A 19,317-nucleotide genomic window follows, 5' to 3' on the forward strand; every position below is an offset into this window, starting at 1 on the left:
TTGCTTCCAGTGTGTATGTGGGTTTTTATTTTGTTTTTGGTGTCTGTCACTGGCCCTTTAAAGTAGTGGTACGACTATCTATAAAGATGTAGCCAACAATGGGGTCTTCTACAATAGGGAGTAAACAATGCCCATTTGAGGGCAAAACTACGATTAAAGGATGACGGAAGGCAGATTAATACAGTAATCCAACAGGCTCAGTGACAAGGTAATCCTCTCACTTTTCCAACTTCCAAACCTCCCTGGGAGTGTTAATGCAAAGACCTGAGGCCATCTGGCAGAGAAGTTATTGATGAGCAGGAGACAGGAATACTTGACCTTTTAAGTTTTTTTTTTTTTTCCAGTAGGAAGGTTCTATGATTATGTGATATTTGTATGTGTGCATATATGCTTCTATGTATATATGTATGTATATGATATTATTTATCACATCATATATAAGACGGATACAGGATTGCACATGTGCAAGAAAGTTACCACCACACCCCCTGCACCCTCCAGACCACCACAATGAATGAAAATGACATGCCCCCTTCTGCAAACCTTGTGACTACTCATTTGGAGTTATTGTGCTTCCCTCTTTTTCCCTAGTGCCGCTTTCTTAGCACTTAGCACTGTCCAGAACACACTTGTTCCCAAATGGCCTCTGCCCAGACACCTAGGTAGACACAAGTAGATTTCTCCTACTTTGTTTTATTGGCTCCAAGGTCTTTATCTCCCAGCCCTTTGGGGGTATGGGAGTAAAGGAGGAAAGCGGTTAGTGTCTCATTTGTGAGAATTTGTCTAAAATCTAAAGCCATTTTATTACCCTATTTGCCACTCCTTCCACTCTAACTTCTGTTTTCCTTAACCATCTGGCTGAGAATATAAGAGTTCAAACTAGAAGATGAATATAAACCATGACTTAGAGCAAAATAGAATACATATTAATACAGATGCCTCCTCTTTCCATCCTGATACTTGTAGCCCTGGGCCCCTCCTGGCAAGGGCAGCTGGAACACTAGTAAGAAAAACCTCAAGGACTGAACTGACTAAGGGGCTCAAGAGGTGAATGTTTTATTGGCTACCTTGCTAGGGGTGGGTGCTTTGTAAGCCTTCTGGAAGGCTAAGATAATTGTCTGTGAGTTTTTCAAACTCCCTTCCCACACCAGCATTCCCCACTTCAGCCTCACCTTCCACATAAGACCTTCACAGCTTACTGTCTTTGCAACAGAAGACGTCCTCTCTGTCTGCTTGGGTCCCAGCCCCTTTTTCTGATTCATTCATTAGTCCATCCAAAACATTTGAATACTTCATGGGAACATTACTGTCTCTCCATCACTTTCTATTGAGGAACCTTAATTTGGCAGTCTGTCCCAGGCTCTGTCCCCTCCCTTCTTCTGTTAATTACTCTTTCACTAATTAAATTTTTTCCCAGTATGTTTGACCCAATGAGCTCCCCTGGAATCCCTTTTCCCTCAGCTTTGCAAAGGGGAGGAGAGGGAGAATGTAAGTGTAAGAAAGAAAAAAATGTGATGGGGGTAGAACTTGGCCTCAGAGGGAAGTCTCCATAAAAGGAAAGGGGTAAGTGTGTGTATTGTTCACTTCAGTGTAGTGGAGGTGAGGGCAGGAGAGTACCAGGAAAGACACTCCCATCCCTTTAGCACGCCTACCTCCCCTGCTCCCTCCCTCACCTCCTTCACACATTACAATCACAGGCTTCTGTTTCTCAGACAATCCGATTCCATTCCTTACACACCTCTCTTTCCCAGTCCCCATCGATCACACTTTTCAGCCCTTTGGGTAAAGTGTATATTGCTTGAGTCCCACCCCTGCCCATGTACCTCCCTCACACCTCCGACACTTGCACAGCTCTTTCTTTGCACATTCCCATTTTGCACAAGCCTCACCCTCCCTGGTACACCTGCGTCATTTAACCACTCACCTTCCATGCTCACCCGCTCATCCCCCACTCCCAGACACACACCTAGTCAACTTGTGTGCACACTCCCCTTCCTTGGCCACTCCCCTTCCTCCACCCTCCTCGGGATCCCACACTTGCCCCCGCCCCTGGGACACCTGCTCGTGCGGGGCAGGGCGGGGATGCGCAGCCGCGGCCCCTTCTCCTCTCCCCCTCCCCGCCCCGCCCCTCCCTCCATCCTTCACCCGCTCCCCGGCGCCCGCCCCGCCCGCCCGCCACTCCGGGGGGGTCTCCGCCGCCGCCGCCGCCGGAAGGAGCCGCCATTTGCCACCGCCGAGCGCACGGGCCGAGCCAAGCCTGATCCCGGAGCCGGAGGGGGACTGGGACCGAGAGAACGGCGATGGGGGGCGGCCCCGCCGCAGGAGGACCCGGGCGCGTAACCCCGGGGGCCCGGCCCGCTCCAGACCCAGACCCGCGGGGTGCGGCACCCTGAGCCCCCCTCCCCGCCCCCTGCCCTGGCCATGGCCGCCCACCCCGCCGCCCCCGGGCCGCCAGCCCGCTCGGCCCCGCAAGCACCGGAGCCCCGGCGGTGGCAGCAGTGAACGGCTGTCGCAGGCCCCGAAGACCCCGGCCCGGCTCGGCTCTCTAGCGCGCGCCCCCTTCCCGGCCTTGTCCTCTCCCCTCCCCCCGCCGCTAGCGAGCCCCCCTTGCACGCTGCCCCCCGCCCCCGGTGTCCGGACGATGCTCAAGTCTCGGCTCCGCATGTTTCTGAACGAGCTGAAGCTGCTGGTGCTGACAGGCGGGGGGCGGCCCCGGGCCGAGCCGCAACCCCGGGGGGGCCGGGGAGGCGGCTGCGGCTGGGCGCCCTTCGCTGGCTGCTCCACCCGGGACGGCGACGGCGACGAGGAGGAGTACTACGGGTCGGAGCCGCGGGCCCGGGGCCTGGCCGGCGACAAGGAGCCGCGGGCCGGACCCCTGCCGCCGCCCGCGCCGCCGCTGCCGCCCCCGGGCGCGCTGGACGCCCTGTCGCTCAGCAGTAGCCTGGACAGCGGACTCCGAACCCCTCAGTGCCGGATCTGCTTCCAGGGCCCGGAGCAGGTCAGGCCTGGGCACCTGGCCGGGCGCGGAGGGTGGAGGCGCGCACCTGGGGTGTCAGCGGAGACCGCGAGCAGGCGCGGCGCCTAAGGAGGCTGGGCGGGCCCCAGGACACGGAGTGGGAATGGGGTGAGGCCGAGGGGCTGGCAGGGGACTCCTGGAGCGCTTGTTTGTGTCGGAGGGTCAAGGGTCCCCAGGAAGGGGTGGGGCTTTCTCCCCGGAGAGCGCAAAATCCCTCTCACCCATTAACAGGGACTGCTGTTCTCTCCTATTTCCCTCGCCCCAGGGTCTCCGTAAGCTAAGGGGACCTGTTCTCTTGCAGGTGGGCAGAAAGGAGAGTGCTTCTGTGCCCCCCTTGAAGGGAGGGGCCCAGCCAGCGCCCTTGCTTAGCTCAGTATTTCTCCCCGTGGGGCACTTTTTTTCACTTCCCATTCTGCAACTTTCTATCTCATTCTAAAGAGTATTCTTTGTTAAAATTTTATGGGCAAAGTTGTCCCAGAATAGTGCCAGGGGGTGTCTCTGTGTAGTGAGAATTGATTCCATGATTAAAGGGAAACACCCTTCACTCCCACCTCCGCGATTTCTCCCCTTTTTAGTACGTGGAAACCGAGGACCATAACCCATCCCAGTTTGCGCCAGATCTGTGAAGTAACTTTACAATGATGGGGTGGGGGAAGGAAAGCATGGCTCAGAAGCTCTAACACTCCCCTCCCTCCAGATCCTAAGAGGAAGCCTTTCTTTTGAGAAGTCTTAAAGACTACCCATCCCAAATTCTAGGAAAAGAGAAGACCCAGCCCTTCTCCCCTCTAATCCCCCCATCCCTTTCCATCTTTCATCTCTTTGGTATGGGAAGTTTCCCTTGATCTCCAAGGGAAGCTTCTTTTCTGTTGCAGCCTTACTTAGCCTCTTGCCCTGTCTTGGGTGAAAGGCCTGAGTTATTTAAGGTGGGAAAGTGACCTGAAGAGGAGGTTTCCCTGTCGGGGAGCGCGGCTGAGTGGGGTCGGGGTGGTGATGGCTGACAGGGCCCCTCCTCACTCTTCCTCCAGGGGGAGCTCTTAAGCCCCTGCCGCTGCGACGGCTCAGTGCGCTGCACGCATCAGCCCTGCCTCATCCGCTGGATCAGCGAGAGGGGCTCCTGGAGCTGTGAGCTCTGCTACTTCAAGTACCAGGTCCTGGCGATCAGCACCAAGAACCCACTGCAGGTGAGGTGCAAGGAGAGGACTCGGAGATTGGGCGAGGACCTTTTAGCTATTGGACTCAGGGACCCTCCAGGAAGCCTATTTCATTTACTCTTTTCCCAAAGCCACCCTTCCCCGCCAGTTACCACAGTCTCCCGTGTGTCTGTATATCCTTCCTAAGCCCTTAATTTATTCACAGAGATATTTATTGGGTGCCACTTATATTCCAGGCACTGTTCTAGGCACTGGGACAATCACCACTCCCCACCCGCCACAAAAAAAAAGAAAAAAGAAAGAAAAGAAAAAAAAAATGCTGGGCGCGGTGGCTCACGCCTGTAATCCCAGCACTTTGGGAGGCCGAGGCGGGCGGATCACGAGGTCAAGAGTTTGAGACCAGCCTGGCCAACATGGTGAAACCCCGTCTCTACTAAGAATACAAAAATTAGCCAGGCGTGGTGGCTCGTGCCTGTAAGCTACTCGCGAAGCTGAGGCGGGAGAATCCTTGAACCCGGGAGGCAGAGGTTGCAGTGAGCCGAGATCACAGCCACTGCACTCCAGCCTGGGCAACAGAGCAAGACTCCGTCTCGAAGGAAAAAAAAAAAAAAGAAAAGAAAAAATGATGTTGATGATGATAGCAAATATGTAGTGTTTTCTGTGTCAAGTTTTGGTGTGTATTAACTCTTAATCTTCACAATAATCTTATTAGATACTATTATTATCCCCTTTTACAAACGAGGACACTGATGCACAAAGATTTGAAAACTTACCCAAGGTTACTTAGCCAGTAAGTGATGGAGTCAAGATTTAGGATTCAAATCTAGATGTTTTGGTTTCAGAGCACTTGCCCAATCCTGCCTTTCTAAAGTAAGACAAATGGTGTCAGACAAGTGCCACATTCTAGATTTAATCAAGGCACAGAGAAGACAGATGTTGATCCTGCCTGAAGGTTTTAGGGAAGGTTCCTGGAGCACCCTGCTCTTCAGGGCCACCCATCACCTGGCCCTCCATCCCTTTCTGGGACTCTTTGGAGCCCTTTCTCCCACACAGTGGCAGGCCATCTCCCTGACGGTCATCGAGAAGGTCCAGATTGCTGCCATAGTTCTGGGCTCGCTCTTCCTGGTTGCCAGCATCTCCTGGCTCATCTGGTCCTCACTCAGCCCTTCAGCCAAGTGGCAACGACAGGATCTGCTCTTTCAGATCTGCTACGGCATGTATGGCTTCATGGATGTCGTCTGCATAGGTGAGGGCACCTCTCTCTCCTTTACCTGCTCTGTATCTTCCTCTTACACACCTAACTCCCCTGCCCATCCCCTCAGTTTCCTGGCTTTATTTTCTGCCACTGTAGCCTTTAGTGCTATCCTGGTGCCCCCTCAACCCACTTCCCTGCTTCTCCAGGGCCCTTTGCAACTGTATCTTCTCACTCTGAAGAAATGCTTGCTTAAGTACCTCTGGCCTAGATCTAGGCCACAGTTAACCCTGGATTTCTTATTCCTATTGCTCAGGCCTCATCATCCATGAAGGCTCCTCTGTCTACCGCATCTTCAAGCGCTGGCAGGCAGTGAACCAGCAGTGGAAGGTCCTAAATTATGACAAGACCAAGGACATAGGAGGAGATGCAGGGGGAGGGACGGCAGGGAAGTCAGGCCCCAGGAACTCACGGACGGGCCCCACCTCTGGGGCCACGAGCCGCCCCCCAGCTGCCCAGCGCATGCGGACGCTCTTGCCTCAGCGCTGCGGTTATACAATCTTGCACCTCCTTGGGCAGCTGCGGCCACCAGATGCCCGTTCCAGCTCCCATTCTGGCCGAGAGGTTGTCATGAGGGTCACTACAGTCTGAACTGGACTCCAGGAGCAGGGATCTTGAGTCAATGCATCAGTCAGAGAAGAACTCTCATGGCTGCTGGAGGTACCAGCTGGACAAGGTGTTTGGGGCATGCTGCCCCCGTCACCGAGGATCTGTGTGGGTAGCCTCAAGCTGGAGACATTGTCTGGCCTCACTGCCCACTGGGTAGAGACACCTGGATGACATTTCAGTACCCGCTGGCAGCTCCTCCCACTCATCCAGAGACGGCCGGTGGGCAGGCGGGGAGAGCAGCTTTCCTTCCCTGGAGAGAACCGTCTTTACCTCAGCTCCTAGGGCCTCCAGCCCCCCAGCTCCACCACGGTGACTTGGTGAAGGGGGACCAATGCCAGAAGAAAGGGGCTGTAGACCCCTATTCCCCACCCCATGGCCACAGGGCATCTGGCAATAAGACTAGTATACATTGACCTCCCGTTCCCTGCATGAGGGCGGGGAGTTCCCCCTGCTCCATCCCCCATTGCATGGGGGAAGGGCATAAAGAATCATTTATATGCACGTGGAGACTCCTTTCTCATCTGGGGCTTTTCTGGAGGGTTGGGAGATGTGGGGAGGTTTCTCTGCACAGGTTGCAAATCCCAAATGCAGCAGTGGGTTCTGAGTTGTAGGTGTGACTCCCACTTGCTGGTGAATAATTCATGTTGGCTGCTAGGTGGCAGCACTCCGAGGTATCTAAAGGGTAGACCTGGACCTGCCACCTATGAGTTGTGTGATATAGAAAAAAATCTCTTAGCTCTGGTTTTCCTGTCTACTTCATAGGGTTGGAATAAGGATAAATGAGGGACAGGTTGGATGCCGTTGCAGAGAAAATCAGCAATGACATAAAGAGATTTCTAGAATAGTTGATGGTCCATTTATTTCAAATAGTAGCTGGTGTAACAAATTCTAAAATGTGTTTTTCATCTGGAGTTGCACAGAATCATGGAATTTTGTGTTGAGTGACATAATAGGTATGGAAATATGAGGGGAAATAGACATTGCAAATGTGAAGCATGGTGGTTATTTGTTAAGAATGAGAACTCCTCTGACTCTAAATATTTGGGCCTGTGGGCTGGGGAAGGCTGGAGCCATCTGCCTTGTTCTGGAGATCATCTGGGTTCTATCAGTCCTTCTCAAGTACTGTGCTCACCCAGAAAAGCAGTGTGAAGTGAATTTGGACTCATTTGGAGTGAGATGGAGGGAATCCCCCCACTCAGTGTTATGAGTCTCCAACCCCAGTTTAAGCTATTTCCATGGCAGTTTAGGGTCACAGGTTTGATCCCGGTGTGCCCAGCCAGTGGTATTAATGGATGGCATTATGTTTGGAGGCAGCAGCATAGAGGACTGTTGTTTATAGAGAAAAGATTTGGGAAGGACTGTTTACAATGTGGGTCAGCCTGAAGCCTGGGCACTTTCTTCTGTGACCTTGGGGTTGTGTATTATATGAATGATGCTGTTTTTAAGTAAACCATTCAACAGCAATTAAATAATTCCTTCATTCACGGCTAAAGTCAGATCTGGAGGCCTTTCTTATTATTGATCCTTCTATCAGGGAAGGTTCTGCTTTGCCTCCTTCCTCCCTGGGGATGTTTTGGAGAAAATGCTTCCCTTGCAAAGGCCCACACACATCCTTGCCCAGGAAACCTTGTCCCCTCCCCTCTCCCAAAGGGGGTCTTGGTTGCTGTCCATGGTGCTGGCATCCAGACCAGCCTTGGGATGTAGGAACAAAAGCTGGACTGCGGTTCAAGTAATTTCAAAGTGTGGAAGTATATAACTTCCAATTTTTGAGGGAGTAGAGTGGATAGGGAACTGAGACTGAACCCTCCGTCTGCTCAGTAGGAAACTGTTTCCCCAGAGAGAGAACCCTCTATATCCCCCATCTTGGGAGACAGAAAGGCCAGACTTTACTGATTTGCCATTCTCAGAAGAGCTGGTGGGGACCAAATGGGGGATTGCAAATCAGAGTGACTACTAATATCTATACCAGCAGATAGGGCTCAGGTAGATAGGACACATGTGGAGCTTCCTGTGCCAAGCCTGAGCTGTCCTCTGTGATGGCTCTGCAGGGAAGGTTAGACATACCAAAGAAAATAGACATACTCACACACAAACACACTGTATCCATTTACACTCTGGGTCCTAAAATGAGGCCAAGTGGGACACTTTCCCCTCTCCTTCAGCACTAATGGAAGTCTTGGTATGGGAGTTGGGGCCAGCAATCAGTATGGTCTCCTCTTCTTCCTTTTTCCAACTTAAAAAGATCATTGTCCAGGAAAGGGTCATGGGAACTGCTGCCCTCTTCAAGTGGGCATTCCTACTTGCCCAGTGGAAAATAGGGAGTACGGATGGGCAGAATTCTCATCACTGATTCCAGGGTAAAGGGTCTGACAAGCTGGGCTTTATTCTCCCTCAAAGATCAAATCTGCTGAAAATTTGGTCATTTAGGTTCAAATTGAGTTCAGTGATAGAGGAATAGGGGTGGAGACTGAGTATACAGTAGGGAAGGAGTTGAGAAGGGCAGAAAATGCACAGAAACCTTGATCTTTGTACGAGGCTTTGGGTCTGCCCTGCCCCTCTGTAGATCTTGCATAATTAGATGCCCCTGCAAAAGGCCTGGTGGCTACTGGAGTTTCTGCGGTCAGGGAGCCATGTCTAGGCCAGGAGGCCAAGGTGTGGAGGAGGAAGAAGTGTGAAGTGAAATCTCCATCTACACCCAGCTAATTGGAATAGGGTGAGCGGTAGGGGAAGGGGGGCAAGTCCTGACATGGGAAGGGTAATCTGGGATGCAGAAGGAACTGTGCAGTGTGCTGAGAGATTTATTTGGATGGAAGATGAGTTAATCTGTATACATCACAAGAGGAGAGCTGTGCCCAGCCTCTGGGGGGCCAGAGAATGCTGACTTAGGGAAACAGTCTCCCTCTGCCCACCGCCCTTATCCTGCCTCAGTGCCCCAGGGCTTCTGGCCACCCCCACACTCAGCTTTCATTCTGTCTGTCTGATTCCACTTCTCTGCTTGTATCCCTTCCTCTGAAGGAAATTATCTTGGAACAACTTTTCCAGAGAGGGCAAAGTGACCAATCTAGGACTTCCTTCAATCCTGGCAGTCCAAAAGCACTTTCCTTACCAGAGTCAGCAACCTCTGCCCATGTCTGCAAATCCCTAGCTCCGGGCCCATTTTACAGCTTAGCCCCTGCCGTTACTTTTCACCCCCCACCCCCTTAATCTCTTACAGGAAGCCAGACTAGACTTGGATGTTCCCACTACAGACAGAAACATGTCTGGGTTTGTGTTACAAACTACTCTTCCAGGCGTCCAGACCTCCCATTGTTATGGGGGTCACCCCCAGGACCTGAGAAACCAAGGTGGGAGATGGGAGGGTTAGAGTCTTGCCTCCAGGTCTTGTAGGAAGTGGGAATATGAGAGAAATAAGTCAAAATCAAGAATGGAATATTTGATTTATTCTAAAATTTGTGAATATTTAAAAATTTTCAATATAAAAAGCCAGAGGCCTGGGCAGGGACAGGCCCAAAGATGTCTCTGCCTGAGAACTAAGTGATGGGGCAAACCCACTTAATAGTGGCCAGAGAGCAAAGGAGAGTTATAAGAAACCGTAAACCAGGCTAGGGCAGATTCACCTTCCTAGGGGCAAGACAAAGAAGGAAGGGGGTAGACAGAGCCTACTAAGTAAGCTGCTTATCCCTTCTGCCACATGGTTCAGATTCAATCTAAGAATGTGTATGGTGACACCTAGTCAGAGACAGGCCCTGGCAGGGGACATAAAAAACAAATAAGGCTTCACCCTTCCTCTCAAAGAGCTTACATGCAAAGACGAAGGACCAACCAGGTACAGACCAGATGCACAGTTACTGAGCTTATGCTTTGATAAATGCTTAGCCAGCAGCATCAATGAACACTATGAAAGCCCAAAAAGAGAGGCAGTTGAATCTTTCCTCAGGCCATCCAGCATTATTAGTTAAAATCTGATTTCATCCTTGGGGGATGCATACATGATCAGAAGGGCCAAGCAAGCAGAGAGACCATGGTTTTCTCACCTGGCTTCCTGAGTCAGGCCAAGTGCATACTTCACACATTGGTCAGGGCCGCCTCACACTTCACTATGGTGGTTCTATCCAGTTTGGTCAGATAGGCATTAGGGGAAGATGTATACCTTGGTCTTGTGCCTACAAAAAATCTTATCCCTATGATGAATGAAAGGGTGATGATGACAGTCTCTTTCCATGGGACTATCTGTCCAAAAACTGTAGGTTGATGCTCCTTTCAGGTACCAGGACAGTCCGGGTCTTGGGTCTAACTGGGGCCGCACCTGGCTCAGGCTGCACCTCAAAATGTGTTAGGATCTGGAAAGGGAAGAAGGTGAGCATTACTATGAAAGATATCTATAATGGGGGGATTCATTGGTAATCCAATTGGTAAAGGGCATGCATTATTAGTGTTAGAATGGTCAATGATTGGGTGGCACCTGTGGCCAGTAGGGGACTTCTTGGTTAATAAGGGTGAGGGATTATGGTAGGGAAAAAATAGTTTGAATACCCTCACTTACACTCCAGGCCTATAATGGGCTTATCATATTTCAGAAGATTCATTCTACCAGGTCTTATATGATTTCCTATGCTTGTCAGGGGAAAGAGCTCACAACTTTAGAGGGTTAGGGTCTCTCCAGTCTGGGGAAGGTATAAAATCTAGAGCACTCACCTGGGCCAAAGCCATTTGCAATTCAAGCTCTGCCAGGCGTCTCCCCATACAGCTGCGCTTGCCAAAGCCAAAGGGAAGAGATGCAAATGGGTGGGGGGTGGGACCCTCCCCCAGCCAGCGAGCTGGACGAAAAGAATTTGGCTCTGGGAACTGGGCAGGGTCCCTTGAAGTGGCATAGTGACACAGAGTGACCAGCGTCTGGTGCAAAGGAAAACAAACTTGTCAGTTTGGGCTCAGAATAGGGCAGGCATGAAGAAGAGGATATTCAGACAGGGACAAAGGCAGGTCCTGGTGGGTGATGGGGAAGTTTTCTGGGGCTACTTTTGGAAGGATCTCCCCACTGTTCCATTACATCCTAGAAAGGCATATCCTAGAGAGGGGTCAAGGGGAGTGTTTGAAGGGCTTTTAGGAGAGTGTTTGAGAACAGGGTTGGGGCCCAAGATAGTGAGGAATGGCTCAGTAGAAAGGGTGCATAGGCTTTACTCACATTTTTGGGGATAATATAGTCACCCACATGAATGTCTTTGTCTGGGACACGAGAATTTCCAGGTACCACAGGGTACAGTCTAGGTTGCAAAGCACAAAATGGAGACAACAAGATGAGGCTAGGGGCTGCAGCCCCCTTCTCATTGTTTCCAACTTCCAAACCCTTTTTGGCCAGGAGTAGAGGGCCATTTTTCTCTGCTATCTCCCTGCTTCCATCCACTAGTTGCTTCCCCAGCCCTTCCTTGGCATTTCCTCTTGTTCCTCCTCTCCTTCCCCCTCACCTTAGCACTTCCTTGACCACCGCCTTCAGCAGGGGCAGCTGGGACAGAACAGTGGCTGAGGGGTAGGCACTGGAGCCAGGGCTCAGGGCAGCTGTGATCTCTGAGTGGAGTGCTGTCTGGACTTCGGGGTGCCGGGAGAGCTCATACAGAGCCCAAGAGAGCGTGTTGGACACCTGAAAAACATGTGAAAGCAAGAGAGGTGTTGGGTGTGAGAACCCAGCAGAGGGTGCAGATTATGGAAGAGTCTGGGGCTACAGGGTGCTAAGCCAAGCTGGTCTACGTGGCCATAATGGATCCCCTGCAACAGAAAAATGGAGCCGGAGTCTGCGGAGGCTAAGCCCTGGAACCGGCTCACAGCACGGAGGGAGAACCTCACCGTGTCCACTCCCGCCAATAGCAACTCTGTCACATTTCCCAGGATGGACTGGGCAGGCAACTCTTCCCGGAACAGGAAGTGGGTCAGGTGCGCCCCAGACTCCAGGTCCTTCTCGGGCTGTCCTCCGTTCCTCATGGCTGCCTCTGCCTCTCGCCGCTCCACGTGCCTCTGAGCTGCGTGGGTAGAAGGCACGTGAATACCTCGCTACCCCTGGACAGCTTTACATTCCCCCATTTCCACCTCGACCTGTGCCTTACCAAATGCAAACATCTGGTCCCAGTCTCGGCAGAGGCGGCCCCAGGGCCCAGGCACAAGGTGGCGCAGCCAGTGGGGCATCGCCATGGTCAACAGCGTGGACACAAACACCGAGCCCACAGCGCGGATGAAGGTCTCCGTGTCGGGTGGCACTTGAGCCTCCAGGCAGCCCAAGCGCGAGCCGAGCAGAACCGCGGCGATGCCTTGTCGGGAGGGGGCGCCGTCAGGGTTCCGGGAGGCTCTGGTAGGGCGCCCCCGACGCCTGCCCAGCTCTGTCCTGGGACTCACCTTCCAGTCCGAACTTGTAAAATTCCCCCGCCACGTCCCGAACCAGGGCGGGCGGCCCCGTGCCACGTCCCCGCTGGCGCCTCAGACGCCGCACAAGGTCGCAGACTACGTTGTTCAGGGTTCCGGCGTAGCGGGCGGCCGCTTGAGGCCGGAGGAGGAGCGGGGCCAGGAGACTGCGGAGCCTTTGCCATTCTTCGCCTTCCCTGCAGGGTTGAGGAGAGAGTGCGCATCGGGAAGGTGGGGACGGCTCGACGGGACTGGCTGCAGTGAAGGAGCGCGTTCGGCTGCGGTGGCCAGGAGAGGGATTGCGTCTGCCCCCTTGGGGTACGGAAACCTGCACCGGCCTGCGCCTGTCTTCCAGCCCCCTTCCTCTTTACTCATTTCCTGCCCTCAGGGGCCGGGGTTCCCGGGTAACTTGAGTCACAGAACCTTACATTCATTCCATCCAGATCCTTGTACCCTAGCCCAATTCCTCCGGTTCCCCCAGTTCCCAGGATTCGGGCCTCAAAGGATAAGGAGGTAGGCGGGGAGTGAGGTTGGGGCTCAACCTGAGTGTGGGTGAAGCAGACTGGGATGGGAACCCCAAGATGCCCAATGGTAGAGTGGGACAGCCGACCTCCCACCATGCCCCCAGATTGATAGTTTCGGGACCCGCAGCAGGAGAGGGCCGCTGCAGGGCGTCTGGGCTTCTGGGGGCAGAGAAGACTCACGCAGTGAGCAGTCCGCAAGCCCGCTGGCGGCAGCGGCGGTGCTCCGTCCAGGGCGAGAAGCTGCAGCGCTCGGGCCGGGGTCCCTCCTGTCGCAGCAGCTCCTCGACGAGTGCAGGGGCAGCCACGTACACGGTGCGCACTGTCCCAAAGCTGGCTAGCCACACCGGCCCGAAGTGCGCGGCGCCCTGCACCTGGGGGAGCGGACACAGCGGACACTTGGATACCTGGGCGGGGACTTTCAGCTTGACCTGTGCCCACGCCAAGGGCGTTGACTGGGCTTGGGAATAGGGAGCTTCTGCTCTTTCTCGGGTGCCCAACTAGTGTATGCCTTTGATACTGCAAACTCCTCCTCTCTCATTTCCCATCCCTAGAAAGTTTGAGTGTGATGGGCAAAACCGGAACTTTGTGCAAGGCAGACATTCAGGACCTCTCTGATCATCTCGGTCGAGGAGAAATCTCTAAAAGTTCCATGTCTGGACTGTCCATCTCAGGACGAGTCCTCAGTGAATGAAAAGGAACCCATGTAGCTTTAAGCCGCAAGCAGGCGGAGGGTACTGCCCACTCCGGCCTCCCCCTCCCGCGCACTTGTACTTTATCTGCAGGATCTCCACACCTCAGGACAGCGAGAAGGCGCTTTCGCAGCGCCCTCTGCTAAGAGTCGGGACGGGCTCTGCCCGAGTGTAGCCACACCGCCCCCAGCCTCAACTCGCCTTTTCCTTATTTCATGGGCATCCGTTCTCTCTGGCTGTCCCACATTTGCTCTGCACTAGTCAGTCCTTTCTGACGCTGTCAAAACCAGTTTCCCCAGCACTCTGTCTCGGGAAAGGCGTCCCTTCCTACCTGCAGCTCGTGTAGCCTCGACAGCCCCCCCTTGCAGAAAAGTTCGGCCAGAAAGCTGGGCGTAGAGGGGCCTGGGATGTCTGCCAAGCTCCGGCGTGCTGAGTGGTACTCTCGGTAGCCTAGGGAGGCGCCCAACTCGGGCGCCCAGCGGACGCGATGGAACACTCTGGAGGCGTACTTGAGGGTCTGGGTCATGGTCTGGTTCAGGGTGCTCGCGAAAGAAAGCGCTTCTCCTGAGCATCATATCTCAACCCCTATTTAACCTTTGGGTGAGGTGATGACGCCCCCTCTCCAAGCTCCTCAGCCAATCCCTCCTCCTGAGTGGTCTGTGCTGGGGATTAGCACCCAGGAACAGTAGGCGGGGCTGGGGCTGACTTCACAACTCCCTTGGGTCTCATGTTGCAATGACCCTCATGGGAGGGAGGGCCTAAGATTTTCCTCCTGGGAGAGTGCCTTTGTCTAGGAGCCTCAAAGTCTCATCCTAGGAAAGGCTATAAGGCTTTTTAGTAGGGACTAGGTGACCAAGCTACACTAGTCAGTCTCTGATATTCCCACTTCTACCAGTGAGCCCAGCCCCTTTAGGCCCATCCTCAGGAATTCCCCATCTTTCAGCTCCTCCAGGAAGGGAAGCAGGGGAGGCACAGCTGTAACTGTCCCCACATTCTTGGCTTAGTGGGTTGTATCTTCTCTGCATTATTTTCCTGCACTAGCCACACCTCCCCCTCCTCCTGTACCTAACATATACTGGGCAGATGGCAGGTGGGTTAATGGGCTAAAATGGCTCCTAGAACCTCCATCTTTCTTTCTTGAGGATAAGGGGGTCTCTTGGGTATACAAGCCCCCTCCTTCCAGACATGGGAATTTGGGGCTTGAGAAGCAGAAATGAAACTTTTTGTACATTAGTTAAGTTCAGAGATTGTCTGTGGGGTGTTAGAGGAGCTAAATGGATGTGGATGTTCTAATTCCCCAGCTGACTCGGTCTCCTCTGGGGGGCTTTCTGGTTAGCAGCTCCTTTCTACTTTTAGCCTCAGAATCCTGTGGTGGCTCATGCCTATAATCCCAGCACTTTGGGAGGCTGAGGCAGGAGGATGGCATGAGGCCAGGAGGTTGAGACAAGCTTGAGCAACATAGCAAGACTGTCTCTACAGAAGAAGTTTAAAAATTAGGCTGGGCACGGCAGCTCATGACTGTAATCCCAACACTTTGGGAGGCTAAGGTGGGCAGACTGCTTGAGCTCAGGAGTCTGAGACCAGCCTGGGCAACATAGTGGAACTGTCTCTACAAAAAATACAAAAATTAGCCAGGCATGGTGGCGTATGCCTGTAGTGCCTTGAGAGGCTGAGGTGGATTACATGAGCCCGGGAGGTCAAGGCTGCAGTGAGTTATGATTGTACCACTGCACTCCAGCCTAGGCAACAGAGAGAGGGCCTGTCTCTAAAAAAAATTAAAATAAAAGAATCTCCCACAGTTTACCTCTCTGCTCCTTACTCCCTCATTCCCCACTGCAACTCTATCAGGCTCTGTGCCAGTCAGCTAGCTCTGAAGTTCTGGAATTGAAGGTCAATGTGAAAAAGGAGAGGGTCTCCACCCCCACACCTTCCCAAGGACTCTCCAGAGACAACACTTAGGGAACACAGATTCCCCAGGTCAAGTCTTACGCAGGGAGAGGACAGGAGGATGGTAGAAGGCATATGATACATACTCCACCCTTTCCTGAGAAATGGCAGAATAGGCATGTGTACACATATACATGTTATCCCAGGATCCACAAAGCAAACAGAAGTGGTAATTGAGCCTAGCAAGCAGTTTAGATGGACTACATTCCTCATTCCAGCTGAGGAGAGATCTCACAAGGAGAAAGGAGTGCTAAGGAAGAGCAAGACCCCACAGCCTTCCAAAGATCCCCTATGGTCCAAAGTCCTTTGACCATCTCAGTCAGCTGCTTTGTTTTCTGTTGGCAGTGGAGGGACAAGGTGAGAGGAGCCAGGGGTAGTCATGAACACCAGTGGGTTCTGCCCTGGGCAGCTCCCCACCTTCTTTAAGAGAGTACTGTGTCTCAGCTCCAGCAGTCTCAACTGGGAAGACCCAGGACTCCTGCTCTTTTCTCTAATCCCTGGGAGACGAGGTCCAGCTAAGGTAGAGTAAGCAGTCAGTGACCAGGCAGGCTGGTTTGGGAGGTCACTGCCTGGAGGACGGGATCTTGTATTCTTCGGAAGATGGCTGGGAAATTCTTCCCTCCATTACGTAGAACTTTCTTCCCCTCCTCAGTTGAGGTGCCTAGATGTCCCACAACGGGGTCTTCACTCTGGGAGAAGGAAGGGTCCAATAAGTCCTTGCCCACTGTTCAGACTGCCCCTGGCCCTTAGACACCTATCCCATCCTCCTGGCACTGAGTTAAGTCCAAATACAGAACCACTCTGGAAAGGGCCTCCACCTCCTCTAGGTCCCCTACTCACCAGGTCCTCCAGAGGCACACGCTCAAACAGTGGGTGCTCTTCGAAATGAGTGCACATCCAGTCGTGTAGCTCCAGCACATCGGTTATGGTATACACCAGCCCCTGCATAGGCAAAATCACCCTAGACAGGAGGCTGCATGCAACGTCAGCAGCCAGATGAAGGAAGTGGTGGTGTGAGTCCCTAAATGCACCCCCACTGAATTCTTAGTGAAGGGCCCCTGAGTAGGCCACTCACCCCATCATCCCTCCGATCCCAACTCACCCCAACTCTTAGCACGTAGGCATATTCTGCTAGCAGGGTGGGACTGATGATTCGCCACTTGTGCTTTGTCCGCTTGAAATGTGGGTCGGGGAAGAGGAAGAACATCTTTGTCAGCTGTGAGACAGACACACACCAACAGGGTTGTGAGAGCCTGGCCTCCATGCCCCCACCTGCCTACCAGCCTAACCCACCAGGGCCCCTCCCCACCTGGCCCTTGTAGAAGAAGTTAGGAAGGTGCTTCATGGCATTGCTACGGAGACAGGCGATGTTCTGGAAGCCACCTGCAGGAGCTGCGCGTAGGGCCCGAATCCGGTCTTGTACATAGTCTGAGACCTTCACCCGGATCTCCAGACCCAGAATAAGTGTGTCTGGGAACAGCGGTGACAGTTCCACTGCACACAGAAATAGCAATGGAATCATCAACCATATACTTGTAGGAAGTGCAAAGGGGTCAACACAGGAAAGGAAGCCTCAACCTGCAACTACCAAAGTCCAGAACGGCAAGAGAGGACAGAGATACATATATGGATAGTTTTATGCTCAAGAGGCGGGGGGAGAAATGAAAATTGTCACCAGGACCAGAATGGGAGGGCTGAGGATACATGTATATTTGCCATTGCTTTAGAGTTTTCCACAGTGTTTTCACACATTGTGTTATTTCATCCTTATAACACTCTGTGGTAAATTGTGAAGATAAGGAAACTGAGGGTCAGATATGCCGAAGATCATAGAGTTAAGAAGGGGCAGAACTGGAACTTATTTATTTGAGATGGAGTCTTGCTCTGTCACCCAGGCTGGAGTGCAGTGGCACAATCTTGGCTCACTGCAATCTCTGCCTCCCAGGTTCAAGTAATTCTCCTGCCTCAGCCTCCTGAGTAGCTGGTCTTGAACTCCTGGCCTCAAGTGGTCCACCTGCCTCAGCCTCCCAAAGTGTTGGGATTACAGGTGTGAGCCACTGTGCCCAGGCAGAACTGGACCTTAAACCAAGGTTTTCTGCCTCTATGTACCATGCTCTTCTTCTCTATCAGGCTGTTATCTGTTTGGGAAGATCTAAAAATAGGGAGTGGCTTGGCATGCATGGGTGGGACAATACAGACAATACAAGAGGAACCCAAAAAACAGGAGAGTGGGGCAGAAGGAATGAGATCTGGCGAGGGAGGGGCAAAGGGGAGGGGAGATGGTAGAATCTCTGAGAAAAGACAGTTCAGGATCACTGGCCACAACGGCTAATCTCTGATGCTTGTGCTGACCAGCTCACTGACCCGGAACCTGGCAGATGAAATGGCTCATGTAGGGATTGACGCCAGAAAGGACAACCCAGGTTTTAAGAAGCATTTGAGGCAGCCCCCTCCACTCTCCAGGGCAAAGGTCACAGACCCAGAGTAGAGGGTAGGTGGAGCCTCTCCATGCTGATGTCACCAGTGTCTGGACGAAAGGGGAAAGGCCAATTATGACCCCCCACAAAAGTTGCTGAGGCAGCAGAAGCTACTAGGCCTCTTCTCACCCCAAAAAGAGGGCCTGAGTGTTACCTAACAGGCCACCATAGCCACAGCCTATGTCTGCAAACTCCACTTGGGCCTGAGCTCTCTTTTCTTTCTTATCCTTTGGGTCATCGTGGCTCTGATTTTGAGTGAGTGGAGCGAAGAACTCTGGGTATAGCTCAGACCAGTCCATCTCCTCTGGCTTCACAGGGCTATTGGAAAGAAGACATAAGAAGCATGAGAAGGTTGGTCACACCATTGCAGAAGTGGTACTGTGAGAGTGTGTGGGTGGGTGAGGGTGGGAGGTAAAAGGGAGGAGGGTTTCTCAAAAATTCTGTAACACTGGGCCCTGTGGCCTCTAAGAGGGACAATGGAAACCACCCTTAACTCCCAGTGTGAATCATAGGACCATCATGAGGCCCATAAACGCTGACCTGCCCAACTCCACTTCTGGCGGTTGATGTGACCCTGGCCGGGTAACTGCCCTTTCTGGGGCACAAGTTCCCCTTCTCCCGAGACTGGCTGCCTAATGCACTGGGATCCTACTTTGTGTTTGTGCTCTGCGGGGAGGGAAGGTAAGGTAAGGTGCGGGCAGGATTGTGTATATGTTTGCCTTTTTATTAAATCCAACAAACAAAAGCAAAAGATGGAAACGACATTCTGCCTCTATCACTTCAGTCTCAGTAACAATTTATTTCTCTTCCCAAACTTAGCACCGCTACCCAGACTTAGGCCCGAACGCCACGCCCACTCTCAACCCGCCAACTCCTCTCTCGGTCGAATCTCCCGGTCCCACCCCCAAAAACTGACGTCACCCATCTGATCCTCCCGGGTCTACCCCAAATCCTCCCAGCAGTTGCAGCACAACTGCTCTCCCGGCTGCTTTGAGAATCCCGCCCTCCTCTCTCTCCCTCTGCCCACTCCTCACTAGCGCAGCGTGTGGTCCGCCATGGGGTTGGAGTGAGCACGTTGCCGGTAGTAGCGCTTCTGGGGCGGTGGGGCCTCTGCTCCGGCCACGTTCCGAGTCTCGGCTGCCATGATCCCAGTCCGGGGTTTCTCTACCAAATCCACGTGGAGGCGCAGGCCAGAGGCGCAAGTTAATGACGCAGCCATGCGCGTTGGTGGCAGTTCCCGCCCCTTAAAGACCCAAGAGCAAATT

At 53.0% G+C, this 19,317-nt stretch overlaps 3 protein-coding genes across 8 annotated transcripts, besides 11 other annotated features; 1 reads left to right on the forward strand and 2 right to left on the reverse strand.

Moving 5' to 3' along the window:
* Positions 1,979-2,218: a silencer, noted in NCBI's record as "silent region_4591". NCBI's record gives its function as "represses an Ori minimal core promoter by ATAC-STARR-seq in GM12878 lymphoblastoid cells {active_cell/tissue: GM12878}" and the evidence as "EXISTENCE:reporter gene assay evidence [ECO:0000049][PMID:35858748]".
* On the forward strand, positions 2,216-7,524 carry MARCHF9 (membrane associated ring-CH-type finger 9). 2 transcript variants are annotated; one of them, NM_138396.6, is made up of 4 exons: positions 2,216-2,998; positions 4,042-4,197; positions 5,221-5,413; positions 5,676-7,524. In NM_138396.6, exons 1-4 carry the CDS (start codon positions 2,642-2,644, stop codon positions 6,008-6,010), a joined length of 1,041 nt encoding a protein of 346 aa, NP_612405.2. In that variant the 5' UTR covers positions 2,216-2,641; the 3' UTR covers positions 6,011-7,524. The 2 variants fall into 2 exon arrangements, with proteins under 2 accessions (NP_612405.2, XP_047285850.1); XM_047429894.1 differs by lacking the exons at positions 5,221-5,413; positions 5,676-7,524 and adding an exon at positions 4,404-4,812.
* Positions 2,659-2,758: a silencer, noted in NCBI's record as "silent region_4592". NCBI's record gives its function as "represses an Ori minimal core promoter by ATAC-STARR-seq in GM12878 lymphoblastoid cells {active_cell/tissue: GM12878}" and the evidence as "EXISTENCE:reporter gene assay evidence [ECO:0000049][PMID:35858748]".
* Positions 2,819-2,868: a silencer, noted in NCBI's record as "silent region_4593". NCBI's record gives its function as "represses an Ori minimal core promoter by ATAC-STARR-seq in GM12878 lymphoblastoid cells {active_cell/tissue: GM12878}" and the evidence as "EXISTENCE:reporter gene assay evidence [ECO:0000049][PMID:35858748]".
* Positions 4,219-4,308: an enhancer, noted in NCBI's record as "active region_6554". NCBI's record gives its function as "activates an Ori minimal core promoter by ATAC-STARR-seq in GM12878 lymphoblastoid cells {active_cell/tissue: GM12878}" and the evidence as "EXISTENCE:reporter gene assay evidence [ECO:0000049][PMID:35858748]".
* Positions 6,393-6,452: an enhancer, noted in NCBI's record as "active region_6555". NCBI's record gives its function as "activates an Ori minimal core promoter by ATAC-STARR-seq in GM12878 lymphoblastoid cells {active_cell/tissue: GM12878}" and the evidence as "EXISTENCE:reporter gene assay evidence [ECO:0000049][PMID:35858748]".
* Positions 6,573-6,622: an enhancer, noted in NCBI's record as "active region_6556". NCBI's record gives its function as "activates an Ori minimal core promoter by ATAC-STARR-seq in GM12878 lymphoblastoid cells {active_cell/tissue: GM12878}" and the evidence as "EXISTENCE:reporter gene assay evidence [ECO:0000049][PMID:35858748]".
* On the reverse strand, positions 9,447-14,191 carry CYP27B1 (cytochrome P450 family 27 subfamily B member 1). The gene is made up of 9 exons (NM_000785.4): positions 13,960-14,191; positions 13,120-13,310; positions 12,410-12,612; positions 12,124-12,324; positions 11,867-12,039; positions 11,491-11,663; positions 11,211-11,289; positions 10,724-10,921; positions 9,447-10,368 (listed from the first exon to the last, which is right to left on the reverse strand). Exons 1-9 carry the CDS (start codon positions 14,152-14,154, stop codon positions 10,255-10,257), a joined length of 1,527 nt encoding a protein of 508 aa, NP_000776.1. The 5' UTR covers positions 14,155-14,191; the 3' UTR covers positions 9,447-10,254.
* Positions 11,434-12,212: an enhancer, noted in NCBI's record as "H3K4me1 hESC enhancer chr12:58158104-58158882 (GRCh37/hg19 assembly coordinates)". NCBI's record gives its function as "activates a minimal SCP1, AML or CMV promoter by ChIP-STARR-seq in naive and primed H9 embryonic stem cells {active_cell/tissue: H9 hESC(naive and primed)}" and the evidence as "EXISTENCE:reporter gene assay evidence [ECO:0000049][PMID:30033119]".
* Positions 11,434-12,263: a biological region, named in NCBI's record as "H3K4me1 hESC enhancer GRCh37_chr12:58158104-58158882".
* Positions 12,184-12,263: an enhancer, noted in NCBI's record as "active region_6557". NCBI's record gives its function as "activates an Ori minimal core promoter by ATAC-STARR-seq in GM12878 lymphoblastoid cells {active_cell/tissue: GM12878}" and the evidence as "EXISTENCE:reporter gene assay evidence [ECO:0000049][PMID:35858748]".
* Positions 15,584-19,218, reverse strand: METTL1 (methyltransferase 1, tRNA methylguanosine). 5 transcript variants are annotated; one of them, XM_005268873.3, is made up of 7 exons: positions 19,087-19,218; positions 18,593-18,718; positions 18,207-18,370; positions 16,885-17,069; positions 16,678-16,791; positions 16,416-16,517; positions 15,584-16,264 (listed from the first exon to the last, which is right to left on the reverse strand). In XM_005268873.3, exons 3-7 carry the CDS (start codon positions 18,349-18,351, stop codon positions 16,109-16,111), a joined length of 702 nt encoding a protein of 233 aa, XP_005268930.1. In that variant the 5' UTR covers positions 18,352-18,370; positions 18,593-18,718; positions 19,087-19,218; the 3' UTR covers positions 15,584-16,108. The 5 variants fall into 5 exon arrangements, with proteins under 5 accessions (XP_005268930.1, NP_005362.3, XP_047284810.1 ...); NM_005371.6 differs by lacking the exon at positions 18,593-18,718; XM_047428854.1 differs by lacking the exons at positions 18,207-18,370; positions 18,593-18,718.
* Positions 18,077-19,276: an enhancer, noted in NCBI's record as "CDK7 strongly-dependent group 2 enhancer chr12:58164747-58165946 (GRCh37/hg19 assembly coordinates)". NCBI's record gives its function as "activates an origin of replication core promoter dependent on BRD2, BRD4, P300/CBP, MED14 and CDK7 cofactors, with strong dependence on CDK7, by STARR-seq in HCT116 cells {active_cell/tissue: HCT116}" and the evidence as "EXISTENCE:reporter gene assay evidence [ECO:0000049][PMID:35650434]".
* Positions 18,962-19,251: an enhancer, noted in NCBI's record as "active region_6558". NCBI's record gives its function as "activates an Ori minimal core promoter by ATAC-STARR-seq in GM12878 lymphoblastoid cells {active_cell/tissue: GM12878}" and the evidence as "EXISTENCE:reporter gene assay evidence [ECO:0000049][PMID:35858748]".

The sequence above is a fragment of the Homo sapiens genome, chromosome 12 (assembly GCF_000001405.40).
Source record: "Homo sapiens chromosome 12, GRCh38.p14 Primary Assembly".
In the NCBI taxonomy this organism is placed as follows: domain Eukaryota; kingdom Metazoa; phylum Chordata; class Mammalia; order Primates; family Hominidae; genus Homo; species Homo sapiens.